This window comes from Homo sapiens, chromosome 8 (genome assembly GCF_000001405.40).
Source record: "Homo sapiens chromosome 8, GRCh38.p14 Primary Assembly".
In the NCBI taxonomy this organism is placed as follows: Eukaryota; Metazoa; Chordata; class Mammalia; order Primates; family Hominidae; genus Homo; species Homo sapiens.
In genome coordinates, this window is record NC_000008.11 from 68,068,862 (window position 1) to 68,081,255 (window position 12,394).

Genomic DNA, 12,394 nt, shown 5'->3' on the forward strand with positions numbered 1-12,394 from the left:
GAATCTTGCTGTTAAAATACTCAATTGGTATTGCTGTGTTAGAAAAGCAAATGCCTTTTGTAAAACTAAAAGTTTTAGTATTTGGGAATAAGTATTTAATAAATTTATTTGCTGTTTATCTGCCCCCTTTTAGAGTATCGTTATTTTAATATAGTATTTCTATGTTCTTAGTTACTGATAAACATCAATTCAAACCAGAACAGATGTTATATAGATTTCGCTATGATGATGGAACATTTTATCCAAGAAATGAGATGCAGGACGTGATTTCAAAGGTAACGACCTCTCCCACAACCTCTCCAATAGTAGAATGCATGTTGTCATTCTTCAGAAGATAAAAGGTAGTTGAGAAACATAAAAGATTTTTCTAGTTTAGAAAATTCTTCGACTATATATACAAGCAAGCCTCTTTATTTATTTTTGGTATTTCAAGAATTCTAACGTTCAATTGTTTTCTCATTCTCTTACCTAATTCTAAATGGTAGTAGTACTGCTGCATCACTCACCAGGTTATATCCATGGAAAACCCTTTTACATGTAGCAACATGTTGTCAAAATACTTGAATTAAAAAAAATACAAATGTGTAAAATAAATGTAATGTCAGATTTTGTACAGTTGACAATACTTTGTTGATATATGATGAACAAGTATTATAGATGTATTACTGTATTGGTATATTTTGTTTAATTTACGTTAGAAATTTTATATTTTAAGAAACATAATTTAGAAAAATCTTTGTATGTGTGTATGTCATATATGAGGAATTTATAGCACAATTTTAATCCTATTCTTTAATGATTTAAATCATATTATTTTTATGATATATCATGATATTTGAATAATTTTTAAATTGGTTTAGATTTTGTGATGATTCTAAAATATTGACAGTGAATTAATTTGTTACTTCAAAATTTCATTGAAATGTCCCTTGGGTAATCTCACTTGTTTTTGATATATCTCTATTTTACGTAGGGTGTAAGATTATATTGTCGTCTTCATAGCCTTTTTACTCCAGTGATAAGGTGAGTCTGGTTTTTAAGTTCTGGGAAACTTAAATGGAAATATTTGTACTATGTTTTAGGTAAATATTATTCAGCCAGAACTTGTTGGCTTATTTTGTTTTTTTTCACTTTACTTTAAAATATTATTTTAAGGAATAATTTATTGTAAAATATCCCTACATTTTCTTAAGATTCTAATTATATAGTGTTTTCCACTCTTTATTATGATTTCTAAAATTATTTTGCCATTAGTTCATAGTAAATTATACACTTGAAATAATCCACTTTCAGTTAATATTTAATAAATTATAGTTGATTGATTGGGAGAGGATTTGGAAATACTGTTTACATATTTGCCATTATTATTACTTGTATATTAACTTTCTACATTAAATTGTATAATCAAATATTGAATATGTATTTTATTTTATAATTTTTCTTCTCATAATCTTTTTTCCCAAGAAAAGATTTTGTACTTGGAAATTAAGAATTATTTTGAAGTTAATAAGTATAATTTTATAATTTTATTCTTTATCATGTTTTTCCTTCTGAAGAGGCACACTTGTTTTAAAAGAGGAATCAGGATTAATTTTTAGTTTATCTCTTTAGAAAGGCAATAGAAAACTTTGAGGTTTGTATTATGATTACTAACAGAGTAGATCTTCAGGAAATTGTACTTTTGCAATATACACTGATATACCTTAACTGATAGAATGTTAAACTAATTTGAAATGGTCAGATATTATTTGGAATTTACTGACTAAATCATAGTCCGCAACAAAATATGCCTGTACCATTTTCAAAATAAATAAAAATGCTTTTCAATCTTGGCTATAAAATCCAAATGTTTAGTGTTTCTATTTTTCACTTTGGTTTGTAATTCCAAGAAAATGCGAAGCTTAAAAAAATAAAGATTGCAGATATTGCTAAGTATATTGGAATGCCCACTTATACTGCAAAGAGAACACACTGTTTGCAGGTCCTGGAGGAGAAAGCAGGATCTTACCCACAATCCTGAAAGTGCCCTATTTACTTTCACAAGTAGACTTCACAAAGTGGAAAAAGATGAAAAAGAATAAATATTTGTTGACTCTGCCATAATTCTTTCACAGATACCCATAAATATTTTGGATAACTTGATATTAAGTACTTAATAGCAATTGGGTACTTAAATATTCTTTTCTGCTAAACTAAGATAAAACAATAATGTTTAATGTACCATGTAACCTGTGTATATGTAGGTTTTATATGGGCAAAAATGTGTTCTGAAAATATATTTTAGTCATGTGAGGTTTCTTATCAAGAAAGCTGCATCTGTAAGAGCTGATAAGGAATTTTTCTTTGGCTAAAAATGACAATTGTTTTTGAGTTGTCAAGAGAGAATTTATGGGAAAAAACCATAAAACAGAAGGAATGTATGATAGTCAGGCTTTTAATATGTGTGAACTCAGCTTATAAAAAGAAAAGTTACTTAGCATGAAGAGCCGTAGACTTGCATATGGTCTGTAATAGACTACGCTTTTTCTTCTTACGATGCTTATGGAAAACAAGATGAAATGGGTGATGAGGTGTCAGAAACATGGAGATAGATTTAAAGAACAATGAATATAGCTAGTAATTATTAGTCACTTCAAGTCTTTTGCAGTTTAGAATTTTTGACATTTTATAAAGACTGCCACTTTTTCATTTTTTTATGATCCAGGTTTGGAAAATAAATGAATTATAGGTTTCTGCCCTTGGGTATTCAGTTCTGATCATGAAATTTGGTTGGTATCCAACAGAACTTTGAATGGTTTCTCAGTTCTGGGAAATCTACTGAACGGAGAGTCTGAGGTGGAGAGCCAGTTGATCCTCTTGGTTCTCTGGGGATGTAGTATCACTATGTCCATGATCTAATCAGGCAAAAAGAATAACAGGTTCTTAGTGTGTCTACTTCAGGACAGACCTGCTTGTTTTCCACTAGGGCAGAGCTGTGAGAATAATACTGTAGTGCAAATCCAGCCTTCCTGGAGCATTCAGGAGCAGGAATAAAAGGCATTTCTTTACTCTACAGATTTTGAGATTTTTAGTATAATCTATTGTGATTTAAAGAGAAGAAATTCTATTTTATTATTTTATTAATACGATGTACAGTAAGTTCTCACTTAATGTCATCAATAGGTTCCTGGAACCTGCAACTTTAAATGAAATGACATATAATGAAACCAATTTTGCCATAGGCTAATTGACATAAATAAGAGTTAAGTTCCAACAGCATCCAGTATTTCATTTCACTTAAAGTCGCAGTTTCCAAGAACCTATCCACAATGTTAAGTGTGGACTTACTATATTTCCAGCTAATATAGCAGTAATAATCTATTTGGATATAAGACAATGTGAAAGAAGAGATGTCCTGTTTTGGTAACATTGTGAGTCTCTTCCCTTGGTATAAGCTGGTGGAGGATTTTTCAGGTGTTTTACATGCATAATAAACTTCTCTTATTTGCATGTAATTTGGGCAACTAACTCAGGTTACAGTGGTAAACTTCTCTGTTGCATATTGATACTAAATGAAAATATTTTCTTGTGCTTACCTACCCTCTTGCTTAATTTTTGTTTTTTGTTTGTTTGTTTTTATTTTTTCCTTTATAGAGATAAAGATTACCATTTAAGGACCTACAAATCTGTGGTCATGGCCAACAAACTGATAGACTGGTTAATTGCACAGGTAAATAGACAAATAGAAGTTGCTGAGTTTCACTTGCTGCTGCTTTAAACTCTGAGTGTGTGAATTAGGACCTTTATTCTTTTTCATCTGTAGCAGGCATTTAAAAAAAGAAGTACATACAACTAATAGGAAGCAGAGTTAGGATTTGAACCTAGATGATCAATTTTAGAGTCCTCAAACTTCACTTTTGTGTTATCCTGTTTCTCAAAAGGAAGATGTTCCTATTTTTAAAATATCAGATGATCCATCAAAAAACACTAATTTGAGAATCTGAAGAATAGCTATGCTCATTTACTAAAATATTTTTATGTTTTTTACACTTTGTTTTAAAGTATCTGTTTATTAATGCTAGCAAGTTATTCTAATCTCCCTGTGCCTTTTTCCCTTTTAGAAAATAATTGTGTTTTGATAATGAGCTTTAATGTCTGCCTGTGTCCATTTTAAAAAAGAAAGGAATTTATTGTTGTTATTGTTGACCTGCTTCTCAAGATTTAGATGCTGACTGCTAGAATTGAGAAAATGTCATTCGCTTATAAGTAAAAAAAATTAGGGCATCCTTTCCATCATAAGAGACATTCAACCATAAATTATTCCAATATTCAAAAGTTTAAGTATTGGTATTCAAATATTTAAATGTTTTATCATACTAGATCAACTAGTAAATGATAAAATGTGTTTCACTGATTAAAGAAAAGATGAAGAAAACTGATACCCACTGTAACTGAACTTACTATTTTGGGGGAGGGGATATTGCTTGGTTGAAATGCAAGTCACTATGTTTAGCTATGTGAGTCAATTTCATACACACCTTTACTTTTTCTTAAGGGTGGCTTGCTTTCTTTGTTTCAAGTAGATAATAGTTGATAGTTTGTCATAAAATGTTTATTTTTTGTTTCAGTTGTTAATACTTAATCCACATTTGGTTCATCTGTACACACATATTTTGATAATTTATATTAGTTAATATTATTTTTAGGCTGTTCAAGAACACCTATTTTTATATTTCATAGCACTTACATTTATTACATTTAGAAGTTTTTAGATGAAACTAAACAATTACCTTTAGATAAAACATCAATTTATATTTTCAGTGGCTTTTCTAGCATCAGAGCCTTTCATAACACTGTGGGCAATGTGTGTCATTCGAGCTGATTTCTATGTTCATTATTGGAGTTGGACTTTCACATAGAAATTATACAGTTCTAGAATTCATGTGAACTTGTATGATGTGTTGATTACGTGAGAAACTTAAAGAAAATTTATCTGAAGCAAAAACTGATGCTGAGTAAACCTTTAAAGTTCTAGCTCAGGAAATCAGGTATCAACTTTTTTTTTTGGCACTTTTACTTTCCAAGGGTTAACATTAGAAGAATATATTAAGGTGCTCAAAAACGGCCAAGTTGCCTTTTTTTTTTTAGACGAGTCTCACTTGGTTGCCTGGGCTGGAGTGCAGTGGCTCAATCTCGGCTCACTGCAACTTTCGCCTCTGGGGTTCAAGTAATTCTCCTGCCTCAGCTTCTCAAGTACCTGGGATTACAGGTGTGCACCGCTACACCTGGCTAATTTTTGTATTTTCAGTAGAGACAGGGTTTCACTGTGTTGGCCAGGCAGCTCGAACCTCTGACCTCAAGTGATCCACCTGCCTCAGCCTCCCAAAGGGCTCGGATTACAGGTGTGAGCTACCACGCCCAGCCGCAATTTTTTTTTCTTCAGTTTTTCTTCGTGGTTTATTATGACAATGTCTGCAGAAATTGTACATAATAGGAATTGCATTGGCTGGGACTCACAACCTAGTGTCTGATGCCAGCTGTGCTAGTAACTAGTTATATAAACTTAGACAAGTCACTCAATCTCTATAGATTTTAGTTTTTACAACTGTTTACTGCTTACTGCAATAGCTGTACATGCCGTCTCTTTTCTATCACCGAAACTTTATGATTCTGATATTGTAAAACATCCTAATGTAAGTATCAACATAATCAACTCTGATTGCTTAACTTCTGATTAGGACCACATAGGCTGCCTTGGAAAAGGCAGAAATAGTAATGGAAGGATAAGAGAACAACAAGTTAAAGTTCTTAATCTAACATGAAGAAGAGGTTTTTGTTTGTTTGTTTGTTTTTTGTTTTTCATGTAAGGGTCTCTTTCTTCCAAGACTCTGAAATGATAATATTGAATGTCCAGTATGGACTGAGACACTGAATTGATTTGGACGGTTTTAGAACACAGAGTAAAAAAACTGGCTCTACTATGATTGGAGTATATTCTAGAGCCTATAGTTTTTCTCTTATTCTGCAATATATTGTGCGATGTCATCTTGGAAGACAAAATGAGTGTTGTGTTCTTCTGAGTACATTTTTCATTCACTGTTGTTGTGCTGCTTCTATTATAGTATAATGGTTTGTAATAAAATACCCTGTTTCACAAAGTTAAATTCTTATTTGGCATGTGCAGTAATATACCTTTAAAACATCATTCAATTCCTGTACGTTGTGATTTGGGTATGGATCACTCATAGTTCATAATTAAATAATGCCTTGCTTCTTCACATCCATGCGGTCTTACTGTGCTTTTTCTAAATGCTCACCAGGTGCATATGGCACAAGGAGGATTTTAAAAGAGCATAGGAAACCCAGAACATGTTAGGCTATGTTTTTTACACCATTATGTTCAATAATATTAGTCTGGCCAGTGTTTCATTTGAATAATCAATCAAATAAAGCAATCAAATGTCAGTGATTATTAAACAAGCTTTTCTTGTAAGCTTAATGTTCAAGCAAGTGCTTTGATGATAGAATACACAAACAAAGCAGGAAGCAATCATGATTTCTGCCTTGAAGTGATGTTGGTCAATTGGGCTAATTTTCATGTACCCTCTAAAGCTCTGCTGCAGCGTCATCACCCCCAGGAAGCCTCGCCAGATCCTCTAGCCTAGGCTCAGGGTCACCTTCTGTGGTCCCAGATCCCCAGGTATATCTGCCTCATTGGGAATATGGATTAAATTGGTTATTGGTAAAGTACTTACCTTTTAATGACCAAATCCTACCCTAGATTTGCATTACCTCAGAGCAGGGAATTATTTTGTGCTTGAGTGGTTTAATATATTTTTTCTATCACTTGGCACAATATGTAGAAAAAATAAGTATCTTTTGAATGAATGCATAAAAATTACAAAACAGCTCGATTTTTGAAGAGGGCCAGATGCAGAGTCTGAAGTTACAGATTATGTGTTTAGTAGTTCTTAGGAGGATTAATGAGGGTTGGATTTGTCACAGCATGAGGTAGGACCCTTATTTTGCTCCTTTATAGACAGGTAGAATGTGAGTGAGTGGAGGGTAAAGAGAAGGGCATTGCAGCTATGAACAATTACATGAGTGAAAGCAGGAGAAGAACGAGCACAGACTTCAGGCAACAGCAGGGAGGCCAAGTTGCCTACAGCAAGAGGTATGGTATTGAGCTTTGGAGAGTGAAGCTGGAGAGATAGCATAAAACCAAGATATGGAAAGTTTCAAAAGCCCAACAGAGAATTTTGATACATTATGATTCTAAAAGAACAGTCTGTTTAGTTTTGGAACCGAGTTTCTGTGTAAGAAAGTTTAATTCTGGCCAGGCACAGTGGTTCACGCCTGTAATCCCAGCACTTTGGGAGGTTGAGGCGAGTGGATCACCTGAGGTTAGGAGTTTGAGACCAGCCTGGCCAACATGATGAAAGCCCGTCTCTACTAAAAATACAAAAATTAGCCGGGTGTGTTGGCATGCACCTGCAGTCTCAGCTACTCGGGAGGCTGAGGTGGGAGAATCGCTTGAACCAGGGAGGCGGACGTTGCGGTGAGCTGAGATCAAGCCACTGCATTCCAGCCTGAGCGACAGAGTGAGACTCCATCTTAAAAAAAAAATAGCTTAATTGTTAGAAAGAGTCCAGAAAAAATTATGGTAATTTAGAAGGGAGAAGAAGAAACACCATATGAAGGTATTGACAGTAGAAATGGAATAGAAGCCAGAGAGGAGAGAGTAGATTTGGTAACATACCTAAGTGCTAAAAGATAGGACTGGGGAAAAATGAGATAATATGTGAGAAAAAAGCTGCTTGAACTGTAACAATACAACTCTAAGGTCACACACACACACACACACACACACACACACACACACACATGCATGTTCATATACATGGATCCATACTTAAAGGCATAAAATAGGTGTTTTCTAAATGAAAACCAAAAGAAAAAGGTTGCTTTGGGCGCTTTTGTTGGATTCAGTTAAATGATCTGATTTTTTTTTTTGGCAAAATAATGAAAGAGAAGCTTGTATTTGCTAGCTCAGCCAAACGATTTACTTGTAAGGTCTTACAAGTCATCGTAGATTAATAGGTTTCTTCAGGGGTCCTCACAGGGCAAGGCCATTTGGTGGAAGGGAATAGTTAGTGACTGAGGTCATACATAATGATTGTTTAATTAGAGTGTTGTCAATTTACAGGATATTTCCCTGTTGCATAATTGGAATATAAAATCTAAGAAATCTAATCTAAGAAATAACAGGCATCATTTATGGTAGCAATAAATTTTTGTTACATAGTTTTGTGTACAATAAAGTATGTTTGTTTCTCAAGAAATATTAAATCTTTGTTTTACTTAATGCCAAAAGAAAATGTTTTCATAATCAACTGAATGTTTTGTAACAATTAGATGCATTCTGTCTTATAAAGCAATGCATGCTTTATAAGCGAAGCTTTGTCTGAATTTGGTGCTGGGAATGTTAAATGGAGCAAAGCTGCCACAAAGCCTTTAGTTGCCTATTAACTCCCACAGTGCTTTTTTGGTTAACAGGGAGATTGCCGCACCAGAGAAGAGGCAATGATATTTGGCGTTGGACTCTGTGACAATGGATTTATGCACCATGGTAGGGATTTTTTACCCTGGGAGCTTACAGATGTATTTCATCACGTTGGTTCTTAGGATACTGCAACACCCAGTGCTGCAGTGAGGTCATTTAGGGATGAGCCAGCAAGACTGTCTGGGTCTTGCCATGGGTTCAGGTTGGGTCACCACAACTGCATTCAGTTTTACTGCTGGTGCCATCCCTATGTCTAATTGCTGTTACCTACCAATTGCCATGACTACTATCCTATTTTTCTAGACTATGCTGATTCTAGAAGAACAATGGCTTGAGCTAGAAGTTTTTCTGTTTTGTCTTGTTTTTAAGCTCATAAACCTCTTTGAGACTATTTCAGATTAGACTTATGGTTTTATTTTGAATGCCAGTATATATTAGAATGAATAAATGACAGCATATGTGGTTGACTACTGTTATTTTTAAGAAAAATGTTTTTAAAATTACCTCAGAGAACAAAATTATAGATCTCTAGAAAAAAATTATTTTTAATCATTAAATGTTAATTTTTTTTCTTGTCTGATGATTTCAAGTAAGTCACCACAAAACCTCTTTCTGCTGTGCCCTGGGATGACTTCAAGTAAGTCATCAAACAATAATTTTTAAATAAAGTTCTTAGATTTATCAGGGTAATGATAGCAAGCTTTTCCTGTTCGTAACATCATATAGAATCCATAAACCCAAACAGTAGTCTCTCTCTTTTTATTTATTTATTTATTTTTTGAGACAGGGTCTCACTCTGTCACCCAGGCTAGAGTGCAGTGGCATGATCTCAGCTCACCACAACCTTTGCCTCGTGGGTTGAAGCGATTCTCCCACCTCAGCCTCCGGAGTAGCTGGGACTACAAGTGCATGCCACCACGTCTAACTAACTTTTGCTTTTCTTGGTAGAGATGGAGTTTCACCAAGCTAGGCTGATCTCGAACTCCTGACCTCAAGTAATTTGCCTGCCCCAGCCTCCCAAAGTGCTGGGATTATAGGCGTGAGCCACTATGCCTGGCCTCTTTTTAATTATTAATATAATATGCTTATAAACATATATTTGATAGCACTTATACCTGTTTGTCAGTTACTTTTTCAGAATATCTTTACATTTTTATGAAGAAGGAAGTACAGCAAAGGTTACAGTGATTTTGAGAAGGTCCTTGGTTATCATTTTTTTGGGGGAAATTCCATCCTGTTTCCCTATCTCCAGATCACTCTGTGAGTTGTCGTGGAGAAATATTGGTCCTTGAAGAACAAACTATGAACGGAAGAAATTACATCATGTTAGGGGATTAAACCTGTAATATAAAGCTGAAAACCTTCAAAAGTTTCAATTTTTTTTCTTTAAAGTAAAGCACCAACACAGTAATTTTATCTAAGCGTTTATTATAAAATATTGAGTTACATCAAAAGTTTTTCATACCAAAGTCTGACAGTAAAGCATGAACAGTGTAGCTCATGCCTGGCTTTATTGATGCCCTATCATGCTCCTTTTAAAAGACAATTTGGTGGAGGGAAACAGCTGTAGCAGAAATATTGTGTGAACTTTGGGAAACTGCTTAGATCATTAAGTCAATCTAAAATAGGTTCTGAGCTAGGCGCAGTGGCTCATGCCTGTAATCCCAGCACTTCGAGAGGCCAAGGTGGGAGGTATTGCTTGAGCCTAGGAGTTCGAGACCAGCCTGGACAACATAGCAAGACCCCGTCTCTACAGAAATTTAAAATAGTAACAATAAAATAGATTCTCACTTCTGTTGCTAATTATGGCTTCCGTTGTTTTTCAAATTTGTGGTTGATAGTTTCGTTTGTTAACTCAAGTTGCCATCCAGTCTTTCAACCAAAGATCAATAAAGCCATTCATCCAGTCAACAATTATTTGTTGGAGCTCTGTAAAAATAATGAAACCAAATAGCTATCCCTTTTGACTGCTTACTATATGCCAAGTTATTTATATTTATTACCTCATTTTGGTTTTAAGCAACAATATGTAGAAGGTTTTATTGCCCCCACTTTACAGATGAGGAAACTGAAACTCAGAGGGATTAAGTAACTTTCTTATCTCATTTCCAGACCTGGAAGTTAAATTCAGGCCTGTCTCATCACAAAACCTAACTTTTTCTGCTGTGCCCTGGGATCACTTTCTTTTAGTCTCTGGCTTAATGAATCAACCTTCAAGGTATTAAGGACAGAGAAATAAGAAATAGATAACTTTTTTTTGTAAAGTATTTTGACAGCTGTCAGGATCTCACTGAATACAAATTCTTCATATCAGTATTTAGCCTTATTTTTAAAAATACTAACAAAACATAAACTTTATTTCATCAGTGCATTCCAAGAATCTTAGGGGATTTGGGGGGAAATGCTAATGTTCAGATAAGGGGGAAGAAACAGACCTTTCTAGAAATAAGGTTATTTGAGAATATTGCTTTTAAACAGAAAAGAAACAGGAATTCGTGGAAACTGAAATCACATTTAACCCAGAAGGCATATTTCTGGTTTGAAGTATTGGAACAAAAGTGAACACAATGAGAGTTGTTCACACAAGAAGGCAACACTTAACCCATTTGAATTTTCCCATAATTGTGTGGGATATTAAAAACATGTTTAAAGTGTTTACTACAAATTGAAAACACCATAAATTTCTATGTTTTGGAGGCACGCATTTTTGGATTCATTATAATCTTTTATTTAAATTTGGATTTTAATCTGGAAAGCGAAGGACTTGGTTAAATTTTAAAAAGTTAGCCTTAGAAGAAATACTATTTGTTTTAAAAAATTCAAAATCCTGTGGGTAAAAGTAATTGAAAGGAGACATTGGCTCGAAATTATAGAAAGAGAAAAAAAACAAAACCCGGGGCTACTTGTGAATGTAACTAGTCCTAGGAGTATAAAGTTGAGGTTATGGGTGCAGGTATTAATTTGTAAATGTCACTGCTATTGAAAATGAGTGCGATTTTTGAATTAGCTGAAATAATTTGCATCTGTCTTTTTCTGTAGTCCTTGAAAAAAGCGAATTCAAAGATGAACCCCTACTTTTCCGTTTTTTTTCGGATGAGGAAATGGAGGGATCAAATATGAAACATCGACTTATGAAACATGACTTAAAAGTTGTGGAAAATGTTATAGCTAAGTCATTATTGGTAAGTTTATTGATATGTTATATAAGTTTTCTTCTTGATTAGACACTAGCAGAAGACTGCGTTAAACATGTTTGACGGTGATGCACATTACTTCGTTCTGTTTGACTTGTAATTTTTTTCATAGTTGCTTTATCAATAATGTTAATATTTTGCATTTCAGATTAAATCCAATGAAGGCAGCTATGGCTTTGGATTAGAAGACAAAAATAAAGTTCCAATAATAAAGTTGGTAGAAAAGGGATCTAATGCTGAGGTAATGTAAATTAGCGTTTTAATTTAAATTTGTTATCATGACATAAAAATAGAGAAATTCTAAACAAACTGAAATCTGCCTTTAAAGATAATCAGCCTTGAAATTATCTTTATCAAACATAATGTCTCTGGATAATCTTACTCACAGGTTCTACTGAATACCTTTGGGATTAGCAGCAGCTGAGTCCTGTCTGGCCACTCAGGGATAATAGGGGCCGGGAGGTGGTGGGTATTCTATAGCAGCCGTCCCCAACCTTCTTGGTACCAGGGACTGGTTTTGTGGAAGACAATTTTTCCACAGGCGGAGGGTGGGGGATGGTTTTGGGATGAAACTGTACCACCTCAGATCATCAGGCATTAGAGTGTCATAAGGTATGGTCAACATAGATCCCCCGCATGCTCGGTTCACAATTGGGTT

General features: G+C 34.3%; 1 protein-coding gene across 4 annotated transcripts in view; it reads left to right on the top strand.

The window, feature by feature from the left end:
* The window catches only part of PREX2 (phosphatidylinositol-3,4,5-trisphosphate dependent Rac exchange factor 2), a 284,987-nt gene that overhangs the window by 116,816 nt on the left and 155,777 nt on the right, over window positions 1–12,394 (top strand). For all 4 annotated transcript variants that reach the window (NM_024870.4, XM_047422268.1, NM_025170.6 and 1 more), the window contains exons 12-17: window positions 172–275; window positions 974–1,023; window positions 3,634–3,709; window positions 8,536–8,608; window positions 11,582–11,724; window positions 11,885–11,977. In NM_024870.4, the coding sequence (NP_079146.2) occupies window positions 172–275; window positions 974–1,023; window positions 3,634–3,709; window positions 8,536–8,608; window positions 11,582–11,724; window positions 11,885–11,977 (539 nt within the window). The remainder of the gene's footprint in view (window positions 1–171; window positions 276–973; window positions 1,024–3,633; window positions 3,710–8,535; window positions 8,609–11,581; window positions 11,725–11,884; window positions 11,978–12,394) is intronic.